Here is a 27,943-nt window from a genome sequence, read left to right on the forward strand (position 1 = left end):
ATTTCTTTAGCTCTAATAATTTTTGCCTTATATATCTGGGTGCTCCAGCGGTTGTTGCATATATCTTCTTCACCCCCTTCTTAACTTTTGGAGTTAATTCATGTCGCTGCTACAATTAAACTTGATAAGAATCACCTATTGTGCCAGAATTTTCAATGCTGTGGCTGCTCAATGGTTGCCTTTGGCCAACTGTATGGCAAAAAGTCTAAGTGCTAAAGTAATTATTTCTCCTTAGGTTTCCGTCAGATTACTATATAAGTAAAGATAATTTTTGCTCCACCTTTCCCCTTTATCTTTTTCCCCAGTATATTTGTAACAATCCCTACTGCAAACATTTGAACTCTGGCAAAATGGGTGTCTTACTCCCAGGAGTTAATAAGCATAAGAATCCATTTGGGCCCTGTTGCTCTAGTGGATAAATTTTGTCCTAGCATCAAGGTTGTTCTTTTTAAAATAGCATTATGGCTTTCCACATTTTATAATGGTGCTTTAGGTGAACTAAAACAATGATATCTAGGTAGAAAGGTCATGCAGTAAAACATTACTCTTTTTTGTTATTAATGTCAATTGTTATTAAGAAAGCTTGAGCATAACACTGAAAGTTCCTTCTCCATTGTATAGAAATTGACTTTTAGTCTGTTCCACCTTTATCACCATCAAACATATTGCAAATAAAATATTAGAAGCATATGTATAGAAGGGATCATGGGAAATCATCTAGTCCATCCATGTAAGGACTGTTTGTGAATTGTCCCAGAAATATTATTATCAATTTTCTCTTAGTAAATTCTCCAAGGAAAGAAATATACAACCTCCTTTGGTAATATGCTGCAGTAATACTTTATTCCTTGTTGTCCTAGACTCTGCGTCTAAGATTACAGAAATCTGGCTGACCATTGAAGGATTTCTTTCTTTTTTATTTATTTAATTTTTTATTATACTTTAAGTTTTAGGGTACATGTGCACAACGTGCAGGTTTGTTACATATGTATACATGTGCCATGTTGGTGTGCTGCACCCATTAACTCGTCATTTAACATTAGGTATATCTCCTAATGCTATCCCTCCCCCCTCCCCCCACCCCACAACAGGCCCCGGTGTGTGATGTTCCCCTTCCTGTGTCCATGTGTTCTCATAGTTCAATTCCCATCTATGAGTGAGAACATGCGGTGTTTGGCTTTTTGTCCTTGCGATAGTTTGCTGAGAATGATGGTTTCCAGTTTCATCCATGTCCCTACAAAGGACATGAACTTATCCTTTTTTATGACTGCATAGTATTCCATGGTGTATATGTGCCACATTTTCTTAATCCAGTCTATCATTGTTAGACATTTGGGTTGGTTCCAAGTCTTTGCTATTGTGAATAGTGCCGCAATAAATATACATGTGCATGTGTCTTTATAGCAGCATATTTTATAGTCTTTTGGGTATATGCCCAGTAATGGGATGGCTGGGTCAAATGGTATTTCTAGTTCCAAATGCCTGAGGAATCGCCACACTGACTTCCACAATGGTTGAACTATTTTACAGTCCCACCAACAGTGTAAAAGTGTTCCTATTTCTCCACATCCTGTCCAGCACTTGTTGTTTCCTGACTTTTTAATGATTGTCATTCCAACTGGTGTGAGATGGTATCTCATTGTGGTTTTGATTTGCATTTCTCTGATTGCCAGTGATGATGAGCATTTTTTCATGTGTCTTTTGGCTGCATAAATGTCTTCTTTTGAGAAGTGTCTGTTCATATCCTTCACCCACTTTTTGATGGGGTTGTTTGTTTTTTTTCTTGTAAATTTGTTTGAGTTCATTGCAGATTCTGGATATTAGCCCTTTGTCAGATGAGTAGATTGCAAAAATTTTCTCCCATTCTGTAGGTTGCCTGTTCACTCTGATGGTGGTTTCTTTTGCTGTGCAGAAGCTCTTTAGTTTAATTAGATCCCATTTGTCAATTTTGGCTTTTGTTGCCATTGCTTTTGTTGTTTTAGTCATGAAGTCCTTGCCCATGCCTATGTCCTGAATGGTATTGCCTAGGTTTTCTTCTAGGGTTTTTATGGTTTTAGGTCTAACATTTTCTTTTTACCTCTTTTTTTTGTGGTGAAGTGGGAGATCAGATTCTTGAAACTGTGGAAGCAGGGGAAATCAAGCACCATACAATACATGGAGAGCCAGTAGTTATCAATTTAATATATATTTCCTAAGTACCCACTGATAAAATACTCAACTCTGTAGAGAACAAGGCCTTAATTCTGAAAGAGCTAATTTTGTTTTGAAAAGCTTAAAATAAGTCTGATGATTTTTTTTTTCTTTTCTACCTCTCTTCTCTTTTTAGGAAGCTTTCTGTGTATTGCTTCTGCCTGTGGATCAGTACAGTGTAAGATCATGTGATAAGGGGAATATTCCTATATGAAACTCAAGACATACTGAATTAAAACCAATTTTAAAATTAGTGTTTTAAACTTTTTTTTTTCTTTGCGATAGGGTCACGCTCTGTGTTCCAGGCTAGATTGCAGTGATGCAGTCACAGCTCACTACAGCCTCCAACTTCTGGGCTCAAGCAATCTTCCCATCTCAGTACCCTCCCTAGTACCAGGTCTGACTGATTAAAAAAAACTTTTTTTTGTAGAAATGGGATCTTGCTATGTTGCCCAGGCTGGTCTTGAATTCCTGGCCTCAAGTGACCCTCCAGTCTTGGCCTCCCAATGTGTTGGGATTACAGGTGTGAATCACTGCACCTGGCCAAATTCTTTAGTCAGTAATTCCCTAAAGCTCAAGTATTGGGAGTTGTTCATTCATGATAGTTGATAGTGTTATAAATGAAGAAAATTACATGACATGGCTAATGTAATACCCAATGCAATGCTTTAAAAGGTTCAATTTCCAGAAAAATTTTATCATAAAACTTTGAATTATACTGCTTGTTGTTGTAGAAGAAATATCACTGTTTTAGAACTCTATACTTAATGCTGTGACTTTTTAATGTAGTTTACTGCTAACTTGTTAGAAATCTTTGTCATCGTCAGTATGCTAATCAACCAGGAAACCCTGTGTTGGGGCGTAAAGGGCCTTAGGGAAATGGGTTAACCTTTGTTTCATCCCATTCCCCAACCCCAGTCACCACGTAAGAAAGAAATGACCTTAACTCTACTTCCTAGGAATGCTAGTTAGATTTTTAAAATGTGATTAATAGCAAGAGCTTTGAATTTCTTTGAAAGAAAGGATTTTTTTTTCATTAGCAGCCCAAAATAATTTGTTAAAACTCTAATGTGACTTCTTTAAAACACAATTTATAATGTCAGGAAGACAAGCTGAGGCACAAGTTACGTGCTTAACCCAAAACCATATAATTGGAGGCAATACTAAGAGTAAATCAAGAATAGATACTAGAAGGCATTATTTCAGGTCACAATTACCCTGTGAGATTAAGATGGTTTGTATTTACTAACTTCATTGTATACAAAAAGTTTATTTTGAGCCTCACTTATGATTCCACTGCATTTTTCTTAAACTACATTTTTGGATATGGTATAATAAATGGATTATGAATCATCCTTTGTTCAATCTTTTTTGTTGTTGTTGTTTTTGTCAATAGTCTTTTCTCCTTCTTTTTCCTCAACTCTGGAGTTGGGAACACTTTTTTTTTTCCCCCTAAGTCACTAGAGAAACCACGAAGGAGGCGCTATTTCTTCTTGGAGTTTGCTGATTAAAAGCTAACTCAACCTCAGTCTTTTCTAAAAAAAAGGTGATGGTTCAGATAATTGCTTGATGAATGATATGTGAAACAAAGATGGCTTTCTCATAAAAACTCCGGACAAATAGAGACTATATTTCACTCAATACTCAGGCCTTCTTTCAAGCCTTTCAAGTCTGAGGTAAGCTCTGACATCTCCAGTACCAATTTTATTTTTTTTTAACCAGCTCTTTAGCCATGGAAAAGCATTAATTTTTTCTTTCAACAAAAATAAAATTTGATAAGATCTTCAGTATTAGGGGAATAACTGTTTTAGCATAGAGCAGGAGATTATTTATATATTTTCTTTTTAATTTTTATAATTTAGGGGGTACAAATGCAGTTTTCTTACATCGCTATATTACATCGTGCACTCATCATCTAAATAGTGTACTTTGTACCCAATAGATAAATTTTCATCTCTCACCCCCCTTCCACCCTCTCACCTTTAATAGTCTCCATTGCCTATTATTTAACTCTGCATGACTATGTGTATTCTTTGTTTAGCTCTCATGTATAAGTGGGAACATGCAGTATTTGACTTTCGTTTCTGTGTTAATTCACTTAGGATAATGGGAAATTGCATCCATGTTACTGCAGAGGACATGATTTCATTCTTTTTTGTGGCTAAGTAGTATTCCATGGTGTATATTTTTATCACAGTTTCTTTATCCAATCATCCACTGATGGACACGGGTTGATTCTGTGACTTGGCTATTGTGAATAACACAATAGCTAGATCCAATTAATTTTATATAATTAAGACTAAGGAAACACAATGATCCTAGTTGAAATGTTAACCAATATTATGGGTCACTACTAATTATATTGTAAATAAATCCCAGTCCTCTGAAAGAAGAATGATACCTTGACCTAAGTGTTGGCAGTACATTATTTCTTCTTCTGAAGAATGATTTCTTTTTACCTCACATAGCTTTCATTTCTGTGGTAAGAACATTAAACATCTACTCTCATCATTTTTTATTAGTACAATATATCATCATTAACTGTAATCACCATGCTATGTACAATAGATCTCTTAAAGTTATTCTTCCTATCTAACGGTAGTTTTATGTCCTTTGACCAACAACTCCCCAACCACCTCCCATTGGCACCTCTAATAATTATTCAGATAGGTTGTTCCATTGTTAGACAACTCTAGTTAGTACAAAGGATTTAAATTTAATTTAAAATTAAACCAAAATGTGGTTCTTTCTAACATCTACCCAGTGGTTTGGATTTTTGTATTCTGAAGTAAATCTTCTCCTTGCTATTAGAGCACTTCACCTAAGGTAAGATCCCTGGCATGTCTCCTTGCAGTTTTCTGAAAACAGCTTTTGATTATCTGTCTAAAGATTGAACGTTCCTAGTTCTTTCAAACATTCTATATGGTGCATATATTTTATGCCCTTTACAATCTTGGCTGCCAGCTTCTAATTTGAGCCTCCCTAATATTTTTAAAGTGTTTAATCCAAAAGTCTTAAGTGTAAGTCTTCAGTGTAGTCTTGGATATATTTATATATATATATATATCTATATATATATATCTATATCTCTCTCTCTATATATATATATATAATTTTTGTTATATTTTGTTTATATTTTATCTATTTATTTTATGTATTTATATTTTATTTATATTTATATTTTATTAATATTTATATTTAAGGTGGGCCCTAAATGTAATAACAACGGTCTTTTTAGTAGAAAGGCAGAGGGAAAATTTTTGACATAAAGGGAAATAGGAGGTATGATGATGTAAACAAGAGGTTGGAGTGATGTGAGGAAAGAGTCATGAGCCAAGAAATGTAGATGGGCTCTGAAAACTAGAAAAGACAAGGAAAATAGAATCTCTCCTAGAGCCCTCAGAAGGAAAGAGTTTTACCACCACCTTGGTTTTAGCCCTGTAAGACTAATTTCAAGCTCTGACCTTTAGAACCGTGTTGTTTCAAGCCACTAAATTTGTGGTGATTTGTTAGAATGACAATAGGAAACTTAATAGAGTTGTTGGCTATGCCATTGTTAAGTCATTTATCCTTGTGCAGTTCACTTAACTCTGTCACTGCTTTTGTTCCTTTTAAGTAAGGTTGAGCTTAACATTGCCCATATTACAGATCTTTCAAGATTGTCATAAGAATTGTGAAGTTGTATCTGAAATAAATACATTGGACTTTTCTAAAGAATGATATTCTTATGAAAAAATGGAGCATCAAAAATCAGTTACTGAGTCATTGTTTGTTAGACCTGACACCAGTTAGAAACATGGTGGAAAGTTTTCAATCACTTTATGGATTTGAAATGGCCACATTTTATTTTGATCTACAGAAGATTTCCAGATCCATTGCTAAAGCGATCAGTTAGTTTCCTATTTAACAGTTGCATTTTTGTATTTTTCTTAAAAACAAACAAAATGTTCTGTTCTGCACAGTTTCTAACCCCTATGCCCTTACTTTGCTGGGTCTATTTGAGAACAGGGGGCCTGTCTCATCACTTGGAAAACCTTAGAGTTCAAGTCTGTGCGAAGAATGTGCAAAAATTCTTGTACTGTTGGGACTGTTGACTGCTTCCTAGCCTAAAGGAAATCAGTTGCCTAAAGGAAATCAGTTGTCTTATGTTTTTACATTTGCTTTAGAAATGATTTCTTTTTTGCTTGCTATCTTGATAAATCTCTAAAAGACATAATGATTCCATTTGCTTTTTAAGTTTTAAATAATAATAACATTTACTTGCAAATACTGTTAAAATAATATAATTTTATCTATTTTTATTTGTTATTTTATAATTCTTGTAAGCCGAATGTGCTGTTACATAGCCTAAACCAAGAATGGGATAAGTACATTGGTGAACTAATGCCTGAAGTATTAACCCATATGATAACATACTTCATTTCTTTCTTGGATTTCTGCACTGTCTGGTGAATTTACACAAGTTATTACAAAATAAACTGTGACCACGATGCTTCTTGTTCTCTCATATATTGCAGTTTGTATGCAGTTTTAGACACCAGGGCTTAAAAAAATTATAGTGATTTCATGTAAGTATGTATAGTCCTTTTCTAGTGGTGGTTCATATGAATGGGTTTAAATAGAAAAATGTTCCATGTAAGGAGCCATAGTATTGTCAACTAAAAATATCAAACTCTAATATTTATGAAGAGGTTTATTCTGAACCATATCTAAGTGACCAATGGCCCATGACACAACCTTCAGGAGATCATGAAAACATGTGCCCATGTTGGTGGTTGGACTCCAGCTTGGTTTTATATATTTTAGGTAGACATAAGACACCAGTTAATACATGTAAGATGTACATTGGTTCGGTCCAGAAAGGCAGAACAACTGGAAGCAGGTGCTGGGAGCGGGGACAGCTTCCAGGTCATAGGCAGATTCAAAGATTTTCTGATTGGCAATTGATTGAAAGAGTTACTATCTACAGATCTGGAATCAATAGAAAGGAATGTCTGGGTTAAGATAAGGGGTTGTAGAGACCAAAGTTTTCTCATGCAGATGAAGCCACTAGGTAGCATGCTTCAGAGAGAATAGCTTGTAAATGTTTCTTATCAAATTTAAAGAGCCTGTTCTATTGGTAATTTTAAAAGGGAGGAAGGTATAATGAGGCATGACCAGTTCTCCCTTCCCATCATGGCCTGAACTAGATTTTCAGGTTAACTTTGGAATGCCCCTAGCCAAGAGGAGGGGTCCATTTAGATGGCTGGGGGGCTTTGAATTTTATTTTTGGTCTACAGTATATAGTTAATTCACATTACTTTGTTCATATGTTTTGGTCTACAGTATATAGTTAATTCACATTACTTTGTTCATATGTAACATTACTTTGTTACATATAATGTAAATTCATTTCTCAACACAGTGACATTAAGAGCTCTTTGCCACAAATGACTTATAGCTGTGACATATGAGCTATAGCTTGTGAGTTACACACAGCATCTAGAGGGTTCAAAATTCGATATTACTGAAGTTTGGAAATCTTGAGTGTCCTGAGTAGAATGACAGTCCTCTTTTACAAAGAACCTAGAAAATTGGATAGCTCCTTTTTAAGGAAGTCTGTGATCCATTAATGTCTCTGCTCCCTAGAATTTGTGTCCAGAGGCTGTGGAGCAAGTGTCCATGATTAAACAACATGGAGTTATTAGTAATTAAGGAGATTCTGAAATGGGAGAAGTTCCGTATACTCCTTACAGGATGTGCCATGGGGGTGTGGCTCACTTTTTCGGTGGCCCGCCACTCAAACCTCTGGGGGGAGCATGCATATGGGCAGGCTGTGGGACTCTGACCCCACAACAGTGTCTTGGGGTGAATGTTTACAGCTGAAGCCCCAGTGGGCGTGTGTTACAGTATGCTCTTTCAGTTTAGCCATCTGTAGGTGCCTTGTGTTAGTCAGCTCAATTAGACCCCACCCTGCCTTATCACAAGGACAGAGTGCTTTCTGTATCCTGGGGTTTCTTGCCTTGGTGTACCAGAAGAATCGGATCACATGTGAGCTTGGAGAATGATTGCAAGGTTTTATTGAGGGGAAGTAGCTCTCAGCAGATGGTTGGGGAGCCAGAAGGGAGATGGAGTGGGAAGGTGGTTTTCCCCTGGATTCAGGCTGCTCAGTGGCCGGGCTGTCCTCTGACTGCCCTGGCCAAACTCCATGTCGTTCTGCTGGTTGGTGGCTTGCCAGTGACTGTTGGTGTGCTCTTACACTAGTGTGTTCCTTTCAACATCCAGCTGCTTGTGTGTTCTTCCACCTTTGTGTTCCTCTTGATGTCCAGGCGCTTGTATGCGTGCCCAGTAGGGTCTCAGGGTTTTTATGGGCACAGGATGGGGGCATGATGGGCCAAGGTGGTCTTGGGAAATGCAGCATTTGGGCAGGAAAACAGAAATACTTGTCCTCACCTAGGTCTGTGGGCACAGGCCCAGGGATAGAGCCCTAGCCAGGGACCACAACCTTTCCTTCCCAGCGCTTCCATGCTCCTCTTCTGTATCAATTCTAGGCATATGTCGTAGTGGAAGGGACATTGAACTTGCAGTATGAAGTTCAGAGGTTGAGTGTGAATTCCACCATTCATAGCTGTGTTGCAGGTCCCTTCATTTCTGTGAACCTCAGTGACCTCAACTCAAAAATGACTATACATTATAATACTACTCCCCTACCTATTCCATAAAGTTGTCATAGTGAAAGAGATTATATATTCATTATTCAGTTATTCATCAACAAGTATATTTTGAGCATCTTCTATGTGCTTGACTTTGTGCTAGGCACTGAGGATTCAGTGTTGAACAGGATAGACATAGACATAGCCCCTACTTTCATTAATGTTACATTCTACTGGAAAATACAGACGTTAAAGAAGTAAATGCATAAATAAGTATGTAATTATGACTTCTGATAAGTGCCAGGAAGTAAGAGGACAGAGTTTAGAGTGAGAGTGTAACAGTAGACTTACTTTAGATAATGTGATCAGGGAAGATGCCACTCTGGAGGTGATGTTTAAACTGAGTTCCAAAGGAAATAAGAAGGAAACAGGTATGTGATGTGCAAAGAAAATAACATTTCAGGCTGAGGGCTAGCAACTGAAAAGACCTAGAAGAGGAAATTATCTTGGCATATTTGAGGAACACAGGTAATCCCTGGTGTGGCCAGAACAGGCTGAATAATATGCAATAAAATTGGAGTTGAAGTCAGAGGAGAGATCAAATAAAGCCAGTGGTAAACTTTATAAACTCTAAAATCCTATACAAGTTTAAAGTGGTGGTGGTATGACTGGCACTATTTTCGTCCATATAACATTCCCGAGTTCTTTCATCCTTGTAATGTGTGGCCCCAACTGACTGTTGACGCATGAAGATAAGTCTGTGGATTCCTGTTTTTATGCTTTGACTCTGAGCTAAATTGGGTGAAAGCTGGATTCCCCTAACTTTCTTTAAGATAAAAAAAAATCTTAGATTTCTTCTGTAGTTATTTGCCCCCAAATGAGATTTTTCATATCTTGTGGTTCCTAATTGGGTCACTGAATCAGTGCTCGTTAGAACAATATGTTGATATGTAAAAGTAAGGCAAATATGTTCACAAGTTGGTGGTCTGTGGCTCTTGAAGGAGAGAAGTCAGAAAAGCCAGGTTGGATTGACCTTGGAAAATGTTCATGTAGAAATAGATTTAAATATTATTTTAGCAGCAGCCTGTCAGTAAAAGCTTTGTTCATTCTTAATCTCTTAGGAAAACAAAAGCTTCCGCCAATAAGAATGGCACATTTCATCAGACGCATGTCTAAAAAGATGGACTTACAGATGAAGTTCTATTTGTAAATTTGGAGTCAAGGGAATACTTATCACTCCTAACTCAGTTTATCACTTAAAAGAGTTGTGAAATGTGGTGTCATTAGGCTTCTTTTTTAAATAAAGAGAGTTGAATTTTATTTTATTTATTTTCTCTATAATGTTAGCCTTTGAGGGTGTCATTATTCATATTCATCACTTTTAGAAGAGAGAAGTTAGAATATCATTTTGGATACTTTCTTTTTTAAATCAATTCCGTCTGAACCTAGTGATCTAAAGAATGTAGTAAACTGTGTTATAGGATTTTGTCCTTTGCTGGAAAGCAGTTTGTTGCTGTATGTAGCTGATTAGAAGGAGGGTTCCTAACTCTTACTAACCAATAGCTATTATCAATTTAACTGAATTGCTGTTTTGGTTTTGTGGTCTTTATCAGCTTTCATAGGTTATAGTGGCAATAATTCTAAGGAGAACCTTTTGGAGCTCAGTCAGCTTACTCAGATAGACTCATGGCAAGCCATTAGCAAACACTAGTTGTAAAAGTGGCAGCTTTGGGTCCAAGACTGCTGTAGCAATATTTTCTGGGTGCTATCAAATGAAATTAATAAAATCATTTGCATGGTACTTAGCATCATTACTAGCACGTAGTAGATGCTGAATATATATGCATGTTCACATATATTTATATGCATGTTTTTATGTGTTTCTCTCTATATATATACACACACACGTATATGTATATGTTTGTACAGGTGTGTGTGTCTACACAGACACCCACACACACACACCTCAAAGCCTCAGTAAAATTGGGGATAATAATACTTACCTGGCTGTTATAAAGTTTAAATGAGATAATATGCTTAGCACAGTGCTTAAAACAGTAACTGTTCTATAGCTATATTTTATATATGTTTTATTATTATTACAGGTATACCTTATTAAACTCATATTGTCCCTAAAATATTTTACTATGCATAGCATCTAATGCAAGTTATTTAATTCTCTCTGAAATTTAGATCATAAATAGGGGTAATAGTATTACATACACATCACAGAATAGTTGTGATGACTAAACAAGATGAAGTTCTCAATGTAGATCTTGGGATACAGTAACGGTTCAATAAATAAATAAATAGTAGTGAATTAGTGATGATGATGATGATGATGATGATGATGATGATGATAAGGAAGATGATATCACCTGTCCTCTGGAAAAGAAATGTAGGCTAACTACTAGTTTTTCTGAATAGCAAGATTTTACTACTTAGTTGATGCTCTCCCAGAATTGTTTTTGTTACTAAATTCAAACTTTTAACATGCCTATCCTGCTCTCCTTTCTCATGCCTTCTCTCTCACTCTCTCTCTCTCACTCTTGCATGCCAAATCAAGCTGTTTCTTTGTGAAAGCACCAATGACATAGGTTAGCTTACTATTTTTGAGGTCCAGCTGTACATTTTAATAAACACTTTTCGTATTGTGGAATAATGACCTAGTCTTTCCTTCTTAAAACATGCAGGGTGAAATCCTCACTATTTTTATGAAACAGCATCTGATCTTGAACTTTTATGACTCACCTCAGTCACTTCACCTGTATTTTGGCCCTGTCAGATCATGTCTTTATTTAAACTTTTGATATTTTATTCTTTATATGTTTTTGCATTAGTTTTTATTTTTAAAACTTTTTCTAAGTATTTTTATCTTGACTACTGTGGTTTTGGTGCCTTCTTAAATTTTATGCTAGAGATGACTACTGCCTCATTCTTCTCACTGGAGGATATCATACAACTATATGATATACAACTATATGATACATATACAACTTGCAATTGTGGGATTCACCTTTTCTGAGTATGAAAGTGGAAATCTTCTATAATAGTAGTTGAATTTTTACAATTGATTGGGAGAACAAATAATAACAAGAAGCTGTCATGAATTTGGTAACACTTTGAAATGAATTTGTATTTTAGTTTAAACAACAGCATCTACACATATTGAAAAAAATAGTTGTGTGTTTAAGTGCAAGACTTATTTATTCAGTCTATAGATAGTGCTTTGCATACGTAGAGCTTTGTAGACCCTTTACAATAACTCTTGTTTCTCCCTCCATATTCTTCATCCCGACAGAGATCTCTGGACCACAGATTAGAAACCACTGCTGTAAGAATTCAGATATAAGGAAAATCAGTGTGCCTAAAATATGTTTAGAGAATATAGGACTTTGATATCCATGAGCATTTGAATACCTTGCCCAAGGTTATATAGCCAATAACTTAGCAGAGCCAGGATCCATATCCAGGATTTTACACTGACATGACTTTGGCATGAATTTGAAAAATAAGTAGGAGAAAAGGAGTAAATAAATGTGGGAAGACATTCTGTTTATTGAGTGCCTTTTGGGTGCCAAGCTTGGAGCCAGGCACTTTGCATTCCTCTTTTATGTAGTCTATGAAGTAGGTGTTATTATGCCCATTTTACATTTAAGAAAACTGAGCCTCAGAGCATTTGAATACCTTGCCCAAGGTCTTATAGTCAATAATTTTAGAGCCAGGATCCGTATCCAGGATTTTATAGTTTCATTGTTCGACTAAGACAGGAAGAAGTCAGCTACTGTTAATGCTGGTAAACAAAAAGTTTGAATTTAAACTGGTAAGTCAGAAGTGCACAGAAATTACAGTTGTTTGCTTTTATACTTTCCTCATTTGGCAGGCCCATCTTAACTGCCTAGATATTTTTAAATGTCCTGTTGAGGAAGTTTGTGTTTTTTTCTAGGTCATCATTCAACAGATTATTTTGTCTTTCATTAATTTACTATTAATATTTACCTCTACTCTCTAGGCTCTTTACATAGTCTAGAATAGTCTGTTTTTCACAGGCTATCTCGAGCAAGTTGCAAAAACATACATAGTCTCTTTATTGGCCCTTTCTAAATTCTTCAAATTGGATTTTAAAAAGTAGATTCCAATTACAAATAGGTTGCATCAATATAGAAATACCTTGACTTGCTCATTTTCTCAAAGTAATAAGGCAAATGTTAAAAAAAATCATTTCTGCATTATGCATTAATAAAATACAGATGATGAAATGGTTTTCCTCATTTTCTTTTTAGTTGTCTTTCATGATTTTTACAAAGTAAATTTATGAACAGTTCAGTGCAGCTTTTCGTTTTTAAGGTATTAATGCTTCTTCCAATGTTTTGATTATTTTGCATTCAAATATGGCCAGGAGATGTGATTGTTAATTACATTTCTTTATGATTTGTGTTACAGCAAAATGTTCTCCATTGAATTTTTTGGTGTAACATGGAAAACTTTTCTTCTGTTGTGAAAGTATGTGTACTATTGAACAGCAAGATAACTTATGGAAATTTTAAAGTTCTTAGATGAGGCTTAACTGTGGAAATATTCTTCTTTTTTCAATTCTGTCTCCCACTAAAATCATTAAGGCTCTCTGGGTCTTGAGACATATGAATTCTTCACCTTGATTGTAGGTACCCGTTAACAGAAGTTTACTAGGCATGTTTTAATATCTGAAAGGGTTGTAATTCTGGGTTTTGAGTTATGTCCCTTTCCTTTGCCTTTTAGATTTTTGTGATTGTGTCTTAGACTAATGCCAGTAGTTATTGTGGAGATTTATGAGCTAGCAAGTACTTATGAGACATCTGGGTTTCCATACACTGTAAAGCTGAACAATTTAAAGCACAAATTTTGGATTCAGGATACATGTTTTTAAATCTCATGTAATGGAACAAGCTATCATTTAATGGTGGTTGTCTTGAGTAGATTACTTACCTTTTCCCTCATCTCAGAGAGTCCCTTTCTTTATCTGTCAAATGAAGACAGTAATACCAACATCACAGATTTATTTTGAGGATTTAGAGATAATGTTATATGCTCCACACTGTGCTTAGTACATAGTAGGCACTCAATAAAGGTAAAGCTAACAAAATTTTGATAAATATTATTTTAATGTTAGCAAAGAAAACATGCTTATGAGCTTGAGGATTTAGGATATAGTATGCCTGGCAGAGACCACTACCAAACTGTCCCAAAAAGTAGTTGCTTTTTTCTTTTAGGAAGTCTCCAGGTCTTACAACCCAGAGTTTGGAAGGGCTGGGGAGAGAGAAAAAGGGTCAGAGAATTTGTATTTTTAATGCTTGGGGTTGCTAGGTAGTTGAGTATCGGAAAAGTGAATATGGAAACTTGCCTCAGTTGACAAAAGTAGAACGTAAGAAAGGGAAAGAGAAATAGTGCCTCAAGCAAACAATTAAGAGCAATAGTTTACTGTTTTCAGATATGATATATAGACTACCCACCTCTACCCAGAGTAGTGTTTTTAATGCAGACTCCTAGGCCCAGGTCTTGACTTTCTGAAGTATATTTTCAGTCATACTGAGGTTTGAAAATCTCCTGGTATAACAAAATAAGGTTGAAATTAGTTCAAATTTTTATTTTTCCACTTATTAACTGTACCCATGGCTCTTGTCCTTCTTATGTTCCACTCCAACTCTGCTTTTACCACTCTAGCCTTTTTTCTCCTTGTTATTACATAACTCAATCAACTAACTGTACCTATTCAACTAGATAGTTGTGTAACATGCCATCATTTGGTCTTAAACCATTGGAGTGCTATCACTGGCTCCTCGTACTGAACTTGTACAGTTTTCTAGCTGACAGCTACTTTTAATTTCCTGACCTCTCATCCACAATGTCTGGTCCTGACATGACTGCCAATTCTTCTCCCTAGTTTCTATGTGGTCTGAATTACTACCCTGACCAATCTGATGCCCAGGTTTGTTTGTTTTTTATGAGTTTACCCAATTTAGAGCCTGGATAGCAAACTTAACTCAAGGGTATGGACTCAGATGCAAAACTTCAGTGTGTATAGCCTACAGACTCTATAATCACCGAATACTTCTTTGTACCCCAGTGCAGATCGTGTCCATATCTAATTTAATAGGCAAGAGCACACATGCTAGGTGTGGAAAAATGGACAAGGATTCTGCATTTTAAGCAGAATCTCAAAAAATAAGCAATAATAATTAACCAGAATTACAACCCTTTCAGATATTAAAACATGCCTAGTAAACTTCTATTAACGGGTACCTACAATCAAGGTGAAGACAAAGGACATTCCTGTGAGAGGTAACAGTAAGAGCAAATACATGACTTAGGACTAGTAAACGACTCAGTGTTAGGTTTTCTATAAACATTCCATTGTTTCTCACGATGCAGTATGAGTAACACCTGCTTCAAAAATTTCAGAGGGTGACTGTTTAAAATTTTATTCATGGGTGCTCTAGACTTATTAAATTTGGATCCATGGGAATGCGACTCAACAGTCTGCATTTTCAACAACAGATGCACCATCAAAAAACATCAAGTAGCTATATATAACTAAGGATATGTAGTTGAAGACTTGAGAAGACTGAGCCATGTATTTCTAAAAGGGCTGAAAACTATGTAGTTTAGAGAATGCTCACTTTCTATAAAAAAGTGGCAGTGTTTGGAATTAGCCACACACTGTGGAACCAATTACCATTTAAGTTATAATACACAGGATTCTAGAAGAAAAGAAAATGATCTTATCTGAAGTCCAGTAAGTTTTGTTGTGTGTGTGTGAGGGAAGGACGGAGGGAGAGAGAGAGGCTGAGGGAGAGAGAGAGAGAGAGAGAGAGAGAGAGACAGAATAGGATGACAGTGCAAGGAGGCCCTGGTGTGGCTTCTAAGTGGCAAGGAACCTTCAGTAAGAAAGCAGGCACAGTCTAAAGACTTGAAACCATGGAAATTAGATAGATTCCAGTGAAGGCTATGGTAGTGAGAGAAAAGTCAAGTAATGTTATTGAATTAAATTCTTACTTGGATTTCCTAGGGAAGAGATGGATCAAGATGGTGAAATAGAAGACTCCACCAATCATCCCCTTCACACGAACACCAATTTAACAACTATCTACATGCACACACACAAAAGCTTCATCAATTTAACAACTATCTACATGCACACACACAAAACCTTTGTAAGAACTCAAAATCAGGTAAGTACTCATAGTACCTGGTTTTAACATCATATTGGTGAAAGAGGCACTGAAAAGGTAGAAAAAACAGTCTTGAATCACCAGTGTCGCCCATAACTCCCTCCCCGACCAGCAGCAGTTGCATGGTGCAGAGAGCTTCTCTGGTTGCTGGGGGAGGGAGAACTCAGCAATTGTGAGACATTCAACTCAGTTCTGTCCTGTTAGAGCAGAAAGGAAAACCAGACCAAACTCAGCTGATGTCTGGACACAGGGAGCATTTAAAGTAGCCCCAGCCAGAAGGGAATTGTTGATACTAGCAGTCAGAACTTGAGTTCTTGCAAACCTTGCCACAGAGGGTTACATTGCCCTGGGTCTTTAAGTAAACTTGAAAGGCAGGCTAGGCTACAAGGGCTGCAACACTAAGGCAAATCCTAGAGCTGAACTGAGTCCAGATACAGTAGACTGTGGGGCACATGAGCTACTAAGACAATAGCTGGGTTGGCTAAGGGAATGCTGTCATCACCCCTCCTTTAACCTTAGGTTGCACAGCTCACAGCTCCAAAAGAAGCGCCTTCCTTCTGCTTGAGGAGAGGAGAAGGAAGAGTGGGGAGGACTTTGTCTTGTATCTTGGATACTAGCTCAGCCACAGCAGGACAGGGCACTGGTCATAGTTGTGAGGCCCCTGTTTCAGGCCCTAGCTCCCGGATGACATTTCTAGACATACCCTGGGCCAGAAGGGAACCCACTGCCTTGAAGGGAAGGACCCAATCTTGGCAGCATCCATCATTTGCTAACTAAAGAGGCCTCAGGCCCTGAATAACCAACAGTGATTCCCAGGTACTACATCAAAGGCCTTGGTTGGGTCTCTGATTGTAAGCTTAAGGTACCCGCTTGGCTGGCCACAGGAGGGTAGAGCATCAGGCAAGCTCTTGGAGTCCCTGACTCCAGGACTTGACTCTTGGATGGTATTTCTGGACCTGCCCTGGGCCTGAAGGGAGCCCACTGCCCTGAAGGGTGAGTCTCAGGCCAGGCAACATTAACTACAAGCCGACTTACGGGCCCTTGGGCCTTAAGGGAACATTGACAGCAGTCTGGCAGTACTCCCCATGGCCTGTGGTGGCAGTGGCCACGGGGTGAGGCACCTCTGCCTTTGGAAAGTGGAGTGAACAGTAGAAAGGACTACATCTTGTGGCTTAAGTGCCAGTGCAGCCACAGTATAATAGAACACCAGGTGGACTGCTAAGGTTTTTGATTCTATTATCGGCCTCCTGCACAACACCTTTGAATCCACCTGGGATCTGGGGGAACTCACCACACTGAGGAGAAGAACACAGGCCAGGCTGGTTTTGTCACCTGCTAATTGTAAAGCCCCAGGGTTTTGAGCGAACAGGCAGTAGCCAGGGGGTGATTACAGCAGGGCTCGGGTGAGACACAGTGCTATGTTTGCTTCAGGTCTGACCCAGTGCAGTCATAGTGGTGGTGGCCACAGGGGTACTTGTGTCACTCTGTTCCTACCTTTGGGTAGTGCAGAACAGAGAGAGAGAGAGAGAGAGAGAGAGAGAGAGAGGGAGAGAGAGACTCCATTGCTTGGGAGAAGGTAAGGGAAGAGAACAAGAGTCTCTGCCTGGTAATTCAGAGAATTCTCCTGGAACTAGCCCAGCACCATCAAGGTGATACCTCTATGAGTATGCAACAGCCAAAGAATTAATGGACTTGGCATGCCTTCTGAAGCAGCTGCAGCTTGGATCACAAACCCAATTTATTTTGAATATCTGGAGAGCTTTTCTAAGAAAGAGAGGTACAAACAAGCCCAAACATTGAAGATTACAAGAAATACCTAACTCTTTAATGCCCAGATGACAAAGAACATCTACTAGCATCAACATCATCCAGGAAAACATGACCTCATTAATTACTAAATAAGACACCAGGGACAAATCCTGGAGAAAAAGAGATATGTGAACTCTCAGACTGATAATTCAAAATAGCTGTGATGAGGAAACTCAAAAGAAATCAAGATAACACAGAGAAGGAATTCAGAATTCTATCATATAAATTTAGGAAAGAGATTAAAGTAATTAAAAAGAAACAAACAGAAATTCTGGAGCAGAAAATGCAATGAGGATACTGAGAAATGCATCAGAGTTTTTTAATAGTGGAATTGATCAGACAAGAAAGAAGTAGTGGTCTTAATAACTGGCTATTTGAAAATGCACAGTCATAGGAGACAAAAGAAAAAAGAATATGTAGCACGCATACAGAATCTAAAAAATGGTGGAAAAGGGCAAATCTAAAAGTTATGGGCCTTAGAGAGGAGGTAGAGAAAGAGATAGGGGTAGAAAGTTCATTCAAAGGAAAAATGACAGAGAAACTTCCAAAACAGAAAGATACCAAGAAACAAGTACAAGAAGGTTGTAGAACACCGAGCAGATTTAACCCAAAGAAAACTGCCTCAAGGCATTTAATAATCAAACTTCCAAAGATCAAGGATAAAGAAAGAATCCTAAAAGCAGCAAGAGAAAATAAATAACATACAATGGAGCTCCAATGCATCTGGCAGCAGACTATTCAGTGGAAACCTTACAGACCGGGAGAGAGTGGGACGATATATTTAAAGTACTGAAGGAGAACAACTTTAACCCAAGAATAGTACATCTAGCAAAAATATTCTTCAAACTTGAAGGAGAAATATTTTCCCCGACAAACAAAAGCTGAGGGTTTTCATTAACACCAGACTTGTCCTACAAGAAATGCTAAGGGTAGTATTTCAATGAGAAAGAAAATAATGATAATGAGCAAAAAGTAATCTCTTGAAAGTACAAAATTCACTGGTAAGAGGAAATACACAGAAAAAACACAGATTATTATATCACTGTAACTGTGGTGTGTAACACTCTTATCCTGAGTAGAAGAACTAAACGATAAACCAATCAAAAACAATAACTACAACATCTTTTGGAGACATAGACAATACAATAATATGTAAACAGAAACAGCAGAAAGTTAAAAAGCAGGTGGATGGTGTTAAGGTGTAAAGTTTTTATTAGTTTTATTTTGCATGTTTGTTTCTTCATGCAAACAGTGTTATTATTTAGTTGAAAATAATGGGTCATAAGATAGTATTTGCAAGTATGTGGCATGCCAACAGTGAACAATCTGAAAAAGAAATAAAAAATTAATCCCATTTACAATAGCCAGAAATAAAATTAAATAGCGGGGCGTTAACCAAAGAAGTAAATGATCTAATGAAAACCATAAAACCTTGATGACAGGAACTGAAGAGGGCTCCAAAAAATGGAAATACATCTCATTTTCATGGATTGGAAGAATCAATATTGTTTAAATGTTCATCCTACCCAAAGCAATCTCCAGATTCAGTGCAGTCCATATCAACATAGCAATGGCATTCTTCACAAACATAGAAACAACAATCTGTACAGTTATAGGGAACCACAGAAGACACAGAATAGTTAAAGCTATCTTAAACAAAAAAGAACAAAACTGGAGGAATCACATTACCTGACTTCAAATTGATGGTGGTGGTGGTGTGTCTGGAGCAGCCTCTGTGGGGATGCCAGCTACAGTGGGGGAGATGCAGCTTGGGCTACACACTCCGCAGAGCCAGTGGGGGCTGGTAACAAGTGGGAGCCCCATCCCCTACTGAGTTGGCAGGGTGGGAGCCCCATGCTCCTGTGTGCAGCTGAAAATGCCCAGCCAAGGTTGTGAACCCAGGCATCCTTGCCCTCTCAGGGGCCTGGAAATCCATCCCTGCTTCTGCAGGCTCAGAAGTGCCTTTTCCCTCTCTCTGGCCTCTTCCCGCTCCTGGTGCCTGCTCTTGGGTGGAGCAAAGTTGTGGCCTTGTCTGGGTGTTGTAGCAACCCAACTGGGTGTGTGCATGATTGGGGCGGTGCTGACACAGCAGACCCTGCTGCCTCAGCTTCCTCTAGACTTTGTGCACTGAGGAGCATGAGAGGGATACTGAGGAGGCTGAGGGTTGCTTGGCACGGGCCTGCATGCACCCCTTGGCACAAACAGCCTGGGTGCCATGGATGGCAGAAGGCAGACAGTCTCCGGGGTGGAAAGGGGTAGGTTTCAGGTGAAACCCCACCTTCAAGACAGATAAAGTCTGAAATCTGGGGGCCAGGCTGCCAGTTCCAAGTGGAGTCCATGGCCCAGAGTGATAGCTTATGGTACTTTTTCTTGGCCCACCCATGGCTCCCCATGGACCAATCAATAATCATTTCCTCCCTGTGAGCCCATAAAAACCCCAGACTCAGCCAGACTCTGGCAGACATTGGGATTATCAGCTGCAGGAAGGAGCTACCCACTTTTGGTCTCCTGAGTGTTCTGTCACTCAATGAAGCTCATCTCCTGGCTGAAACATGCACCCCTGTTCACTGTGTTGTGGGCAACAAGGAGAGAAGAGTTGCAGCCCTTTGGGGACCCCAGACTTAGGGGGTCCCCGAGCCAGAGATGTGACATCCTCTTTGGGGCTCTGCAGTTCCTGGCATCTGCAACTTCCAAGCATCACCACGTTCCTCTCGTCCAGACACAGGTTGCTTGCAGTGGAAGGCACGTGCAGTACATCTGGTCCAGCCACAGCCTTGCATGGAGCTGGTACCTGTGCCAGTGCCTGGAGCTGCCTGCCCGACAGCAGAAGCCAGCATGCCTGGCTGGGCGCAGTGTCTGGTCCCCACACTTGCTCACCCACACACCCCTCACTTCTCTGCCCTGGCTTGCCCTTGGCAGGTATGGGATCCAGGCCAGTAGCATGAGCCAAGTGCAGCATGCTGAACCGAGTGGGCGGAATAAGAACTTGTAAGTAATACTGAAGCAGAAGGTGCTGCCAGCTACAGAGTTTTCTAGCTTGCAAAATGACACCCCAAGAATCCCATGACAAAATTATACTACAGAGCTATAATAACCAAAATAGCATGGTATTGGCATAAAGACAGAAGCATAGACCAATAGAACAGACTAGAGAACCCTGAAACAAATCCACACATTTACAGTGAACTCATTTTTGACAAAACTGCCATGAACATACACTGGGGAAAAGAGAGTCACTTCGATTAATGGTGCTGGAAAACTGGACATCCATATGCAGAAGAATGAAAGTAGACCCCTATCTCTTGCCATATACAAAAATCATATTTAAATGGATTAAAGACTTAAATATGAGATGTCAAAAGTACTACAAGACACTACTACAAGAAAACATTGGGGGAAACTCTTTAGGATATTGGTCTGGGCAAAAATTGCTTGAGTAACACTGCACAGGCACCAGCAACTAAAGCAAAAATGAACAACTGCGATCACATCATGTTATAAAGCTTCTGCACAGCAAGGGAACAATCAACAAAGTGAAGAGACAGCCCACAGAGTAGTAGACAATATTTGCAAACTATCCATCTGACAAGGTATTAATAACCAGAATACTTAAGGAGCCCAAACAGCTCTAGAGGAAAAAAAAACTTATAATCCAATCAAAAAATGGGCATACAGAGGACAATCAGACATGGAAAAGTGCTCAACATCACTGATCACCAGAGAAATGTAAATCAAAACTGCAATGATATATCATCTCACCCCAGTTAAAATGGCTTATCTAGAAAGACAGGCAATAGAAAATTCTGGTGAGGATGTGGAGGAAAGGGAACCCCCATACACTGTTGGTGGGAATGTACATTAGTACTACCAGTATGGAGAAATGTTTGTAGGTTCCTCTAAAAACTGAAAATAGAGATAACACATGATTCAGCAATTCTACTGCTGGATATATACCCCAAAGAAAGGAAATCAGTATATCAAAGAGGTATTCTGCACTGCCATGTTTGTTGTAGCATTCACAATAGGTAAGATTTGGAAGCAATCTAAGTGTCCATCGACAGATGAATGAAATGTAAAGAAAATGTGGTACATATGCACAGTGGAGGACTATTCAGTCATAAAAATGAGATCCTGTCATTTGCAACAGCATGGATAGAACTGGAGATCATTATATTAAGTGAAATAAATCAGGCGCAATAAGGCAAATGCCATGTGTTCTCATTTATTTGTGGAATCTAAAATTCAAAACAATTAAACTCATGGCCATAGAAAGTAGAAATATGGTTACCAGAGATTGGAAAGGGTAGCGAGGGGGTCGGGAGGAGATTGGAATGGTTATTGGGTACAAAAAAGTTGGAAAGAATGAATAAGACCTACTATTTGATAGCACAACAGGGTGACTGTTGTCAATAATAACTTAATTGTTAAATTTTAAAATAACTGAGTATAATTGTATTGTTTATAGCACAAAAGTATAAATGCTTGTGGGGATAGATACCCGATTCTCTATGATATGGGGATGGATACCTAATTCTGTACGATGTGCTTATTAACATTGCATGTCTGTTTCAAAACATCTCATGTCCCCCATAAATATATATACCAACTATGTGCTCACAAAAATTAAAAAAAAATAAGTAAATTCTTACTTGATTATATTTATACAAGTCTTTTACATATATTCTAATATATTTACATTAATAATCATAATAATTTATGAGGGTAAGAACTCATGTCCCTCTTTTGGACATCAGGAAACTGAGGCCTTGAGGATTTAAGTGGTTTGTTTACTACCTTATGTCTAATAGGTCAAATAGTCAAATGGTGAACGAAATTTGACTCAGAGTCCAGTATTATTGTTAATACACCACACTGTCTCCCTCACCTATTGAAATGATAACAGTAATAATGACAACTGACATTAATTGAAAGCTTACCACATGTCAGATGTTTTTACAGCACTTTATTAATTTATTTAGTCATCTTTATTGAGTTATTTTTTTTCTACCAAAGTTGGCTTTCTTTCTTGACTGCTAAAATCCTTGTATCTAACATATGTCTCTTCCATGCAAATCTTCACAACTCTTTAGGAAACACAGACCAAAAAATGTAGGGAAAAAATCCAAGAAAAAGGAGTGCTGGGGGGACACATGAATTACAAGACTGGACAGATTATGTTCATTTGGGACTATGTTCATGCAGTTGTCTCTGTCAATCAGTTATAGGGCTGTAATTAAGTAACAAAACATCACCTAAACTAACATTTAAAATGTTAGCTGACAGGGTACATTTCTATGAAAAATTTTAGCTGAGCCTCTTATTTTATGAACTTTAGGTTATTATGCCAACATGCAGCATGTAATGTCATGCTTGTTGCCCTAAGGTGTATTTATCATCTTCGAATTGTTTGCTTTCTCAAACTAGACAGGCAGAGAACAAAAACCAGTTGTATGTATTAATATATAGTCAGCTTTAAACTTAAACCAATTCTAAATAGATTTCTAATGGCTCATGAATCAAGTATCTGATTAACAGCTTTAAGAAAGATTCTTTTTTTAATTTAATTTTCTTATTATACTTTTAAGTTCTCAGACACATGTGCAGAATGTGCAGGATTTGTTACATACGTATACATGTGCCATGGTGGTTTGCTGCACCCATCAACCCGTCATCTACATTAGGTATTTCTCCTAATGCTATCCCTCCCTCCACCCCGCTACAGGCCCCGGTGTGGTGTGTGATGTTCCCCTCCCTGTGTTCAGGTAAAAGAAAGATTCTTTCCTGTCCAGAAACAGAGGTCATTTTAGAACTTGGGGTTAGGCAGAGGAAGAAAAACCTAGAAGGTGTCAGATGCTAGCAGAGCATTTTTGCCTACTTCATTTCTTTGCATCCCTCTTTTCTGGTTTAGTTCTTGGGCCTGAAAGTCAATATACTCTGCTTTTCTTCAGTGAATGTCTTCTGATTTAGAATTAGGCCAAAACAGGCTTGGATTGAAAGATGAAAATACTGCTAGTAACTGATTTTACAGTGATTAAAGCATCAATAGAATAGATCTTGTCAGTATTCTTGTGAGAGTACTATCCAAATGATGCATTGTGGTTTAAATAAGGCTTTCTGCTCTGAATAGGCCTGTACTTAAAAGTATTTATTGAGTACCCACAATGTATAAGGCACTCTGTTCTGTATTCTGAGGCACACAAACATAAATCAGATGTGAGACCTGCCCTTGAGGAGACTCTGTTACCTAGTAGCAACAAGACTTTTATGTGAAAGTGTATTTTTTCACATTTCACATCATATTCCACAAAAATATATAGGTATGTATATATTTTTTCCAGATTTCTTCCTTTGCACACAATGGTTTGGCGAGCTTGCTTTTATGTAATAAGAGATCTTAAAATGCAGAAGCAGTTATATGAGCAGGTAACTGTGCGAGTAGAAAAGAGAAGTACATTGCATTAATTTACTGATTGTTCATGCCTCACTGTATGAATAACCATTATATTTATATTACAAATTAAAACATCTTAACTTGTAGAGATAGAAATTACAGAATATATCTTGTTTTGCTGTACCATGTTAGTTTTCTTTTTGTTCAGATAGTTCTGTCTGTTACCATTTTATGGTGTCCAGTCCATCATTGATGGGCACCTAGGTTAATTCAATGTCTTTGCTGTTGTGAATAGTACTGTGATGACTATGCAAGTAAGTGTGTCTTTTTGGTCGAATGATTTTCTTTTGGATATATACCCAGCAATTAGATTGCTAGGTCAAATGTTAGTTTTGTTTTAAGTTTGAGAAATCTTCAAACTGCTTTCCACAGTAGCTGAAATAAATTATGTTCGCATCAACAGCATATAAGCATTCCCTTTTCTCCACAGCCTCGCCAGCTTTTTGACTTGTTAATAGTAGCCATTCTGACTGGTGTGAAATGGTATCTCATTGTGGTTTTGATTAACATTTCTCCGATGATTAGTAATGTGGAGCATTGTTTTATATGTGTATTGGCCGTTTGTATATCTTCCTTTGAGTAGTGTCCGTTCATGTCTTTTGCCCATTTGTAATGGGGTTATTTTGTTTTTGCTTGTTAATTTGTTTAAGTTCCTTATAGATTCTGGATATTAAACCTTGGTCAGATGTGTAGTTTGTGAATATTGTCTCACCTTCTATAGGTGGCCTGTTTACTCTGGCAGTAGTTTCTTTTGCTGTGCAGAAGTTCTTTAATTACGTCACACTTGTTAATTTTTTGCTTTTTGCAGTTGCTTTTGATTACTTAGTCATAAATTCTTTCTCAAGGAAGATGTCCAGTATGGTTTCCTAGGATTTCTTCTAGGATCTTTATAGTTTGAGGTCTTACATCTAAATATTTAATTCACCTTGAGTTAAATTTTGTACTTCATGAAAGGAAGGGGCCCAGATTCAATCTTCTGCATATGGGTAGCCAGTTATCCCAGAAACATTTATTGAATAGGAAGTTCTTTCCAATTGTTTATTTTTCTCAACTTTGTCAAAGATCAGATGACTGTAGGTGTGCAGCTTTATTTCTGGGTTCTCTATTTTTTTTTTATCTTAGTCAGTGAGTCTGTTTTAGTACCAGTACCATGCTGGTTTGATTATTGTAGCCTTATAGTGCAGTTTGAAGTCAGATAATGCGACGCTTCTGGCTTTGTTGTTTTTGCTTAGGATTTCTAGGGCTATTTGGGCAATATTTTAGTTTCGTATGAATTTTAGCATAGTTTTTTTCTAGTTCTGCGAAGAATGTTATTTGTAGTTTGATAGCAATAACATTGAATCTGTAGATTTCTTTAGGCAGTGCGGTCATTTTAACAATACTTTTCTTCCAAATCATTAGCATATAAAGTTTTTCCATTTGTTTGTGTTGTCTTTGATTTCTTTTGGAACTGTTTTGTAGTTTTTGTTATAGAGATCTTTCACATTTTGGTTTGAACACATCAAACCTAAGCATTTTATTCTTTTGTGCCTATTGTAATGGAATTGCATTATTTACTTGGCTCTCAGCTTGGATGTTATTGTTGTATAGAAATGGTACTGATTTGTGTATGCTGATTTTGTATTAGAAATTTGTACTGAAATAGTTTATCATTTCCAAGAGGCTTCTGGAAGAGTGTTTAGGGTTTTCTAGGTGTAGAATCTTATTGTCTGTGATGAGAGATAATTTGACTTCTTTTCCTATTTGGATGCTTTTATACTTTCTCTTGCCTGATTGCTCTGGCCAGGACTTCCAGTACTATGTTGAAAAGGAGTGATGACAGTGGGCATCCTTGTCTTATTGCAGTTTTCAAGAGAAATGCTTCGGGTTTTTGCCCATTCAGTATGATGTTGGCTGTTGGTTTGATATAGATGACTCTTTTTATTTTGAGGTATGGTTCTTTGACGCCTAGTTTCTTGAGGGTTTTTATCATGAAAAGATACTGGATTTTATTGAAAGCTTTTTCTGCATCTATTGAGATGATTATATGGCTTTTGTTTTTCATTCTGTTTTTGTTGTGAATCACATTTATTGATTTATATTTCTTAAATCAACCTTGCATCCCAGGAATGAAGTCCTGCTTGATTGTGGTGCATTAACTTTCTGTCGTGCTTTTGGACTCAGTTTGCTAGTATTTTGTTGAGGATTTTTGTGTCTAGGTTTATCAGGGATATTGTCCTGCAGTTTTCTTTTTTTAGTGTAACTTTGCCAGGTTTTAGTATTAGGGTAATGCTGGTTTTTTAGAATGAGTAAGGGAGATGTCCTTCCTCCTTGTTTTGGGAATACTTTCAGAGGAATGGGTACAAGTTCTTCTTTGGTAGAATTTGGCTGTGAATCCATCTGGTCCAGGGCTTTTTTTTTGGTTGGAAGTTTTTTTTTTTAAATTACTGCTTCAATTTTGGAACTCAGTATTGGCCTGTTTAGGGTTTCAAATCCTTCCTGATTCAATCCTAGGAGGTTGTGTGTTTCCAGGAATATATTTATATCTTCTAGATTTTTTAGTTTCTGTGCATAGAAGTGTTCATAATGGTTCCTGAGAATCTTTTGTATTTCTGTGGGGTCATTTGTAATGTCACCTTTGTCCTTTCTGATTATGCTTATTTGAATCTTATGTCTTTTTGTCTTTGTTAATCTAGATAGTGTATGTCTTTCAGCAGGTTTTATATTGTACCATGCAGGTAAACCTACAAGCCCGTAGATGGCACTTACAGGTAAGAGCTGGCTGCACTCAATACAGCTAGGTATATACTCGATTTTTGTTTACTGAGAGACTCTTTGTAGAGGACCCTGCTGTGCCACGATTTCAGCGGACCAGGCTGGGGCACCCAGCAATGGCCCACACAGACTAGTTCCAGGTCAACAAGCTGGCCCTGGTGGCAAGTCTCATTGTCCAGAAGAGACAGCTGCTGTAGCAGCTCTCTTCCCTACCCAGGCTTGTGACAGGGCAGAGCACAATTCCAGTTCCTACTGCTGAGGCACTTTTCACAGTTTTGGCTGTGGAGACCCCCTACCTAACTCCAGAACAGAATTTCCAATCTCTGGCAAGGGACTAAAATGCCTGCGTGGTTGTGCCACCAGGTTGCCAAAACATGACTGGCTTTTATGCACCCAAATTAAAAATGGCATCCTGCTCTTAGCCTTGGGTATGGGAAAATATCCGCAGCTTTTCCTGGTGTCTTTCCCTCAGAGTGTCTTCAAGCCTCTTCCCATGTTAGCTCCAGGGGTTGGGAGAAAGAAAGCGCTGTCCATTGGCCTGGGTTGCTTGGATCCCCAGTGGAAAGATGAATCATAGGGAGAGGCTCTCTGCCTCTCTCATGTACTTTAATCACTTTTATTTTTTCTCACCTTTATCAGCTGTATGCCATCACAGGGGCTTTGCTGACATTCTTCTCCCAAGGATCTGGGATGTCCCTCACAATTCTGGTGGATTCCCATTTTCCTTCTTGAATTAAAGCTCACAGAGTTTATCTATATGCACTATGTTGTTATTTCCAAGTGCCTGAGGCATGCTCAAATACGCTGTCTTGGGAAAACAAAACAAAACAAAACAAAAAAAACAAAAAATCTTAACTATCTTTATTGCTCTTCCTCTGACACCTAGAACAAGTGTCAAG

At 37.9% G+C, this 27,943-nt stretch overlaps 1 protein-coding gene across 4 annotated transcripts in view, besides 1 other annotated feature; it reads left to right on the top strand.

Annotated features, from left to right (window-relative positions):
• The window catches only part of SH3BGRL (SH3 domain binding glutamate rich protein like), a 96,446-nt gene that overhangs the window by 19,149 nt on the left and 49,354 nt on the right, over nt 1-27,943 (top strand). For 2 of the 4 annotated variants that reach the window (XM_011531014.2, XM_047442354.1), the window contains one exon: nt 15,868-16,030. The exons of 1 other annotated variant lie outside the window; for it this stretch is intronic. In XM_011531014.2, the coding sequence (XP_011529316.1) occupies nt 15,875-16,030 (156 nt within the window). In that variant the 5' untranslated portion in view covers nt 15,868-15,874. Of the gene's footprint in view, nt 1-15,057; nt 15,141-15,867; nt 16,031-27,943 lie in introns of those variants that run through there. One more of the 4 variants, XM_011531013.1, reaches the window with a different exon arrangement.
• Nucleotides 5,452-5,982: an enhancer, noted in NCBI's record as "NANOG hESC enhancer chrX:80482201-80482731 (GRCh37/hg19 assembly coordinates)". NCBI's record gives its function as "activates a minimal SCP1, AML or CMV promoter by ChIP-STARR-seq in naive H9 embryonic stem cells {active_cell/tissue: H9 hESC(naive)}" and the evidence as "EXISTENCE:reporter gene assay evidence [ECO:0000049][PMID:30033119]".

This window comes from Homo sapiens, chromosome X, assembly GCF_000001405.40.
Source record: "Homo sapiens chromosome X, GRCh38.p14 Primary Assembly".
Classification (NCBI taxonomy): Eukaryota; Metazoa; Chordata; class Mammalia; order Primates; family Hominidae; genus Homo; species Homo sapiens.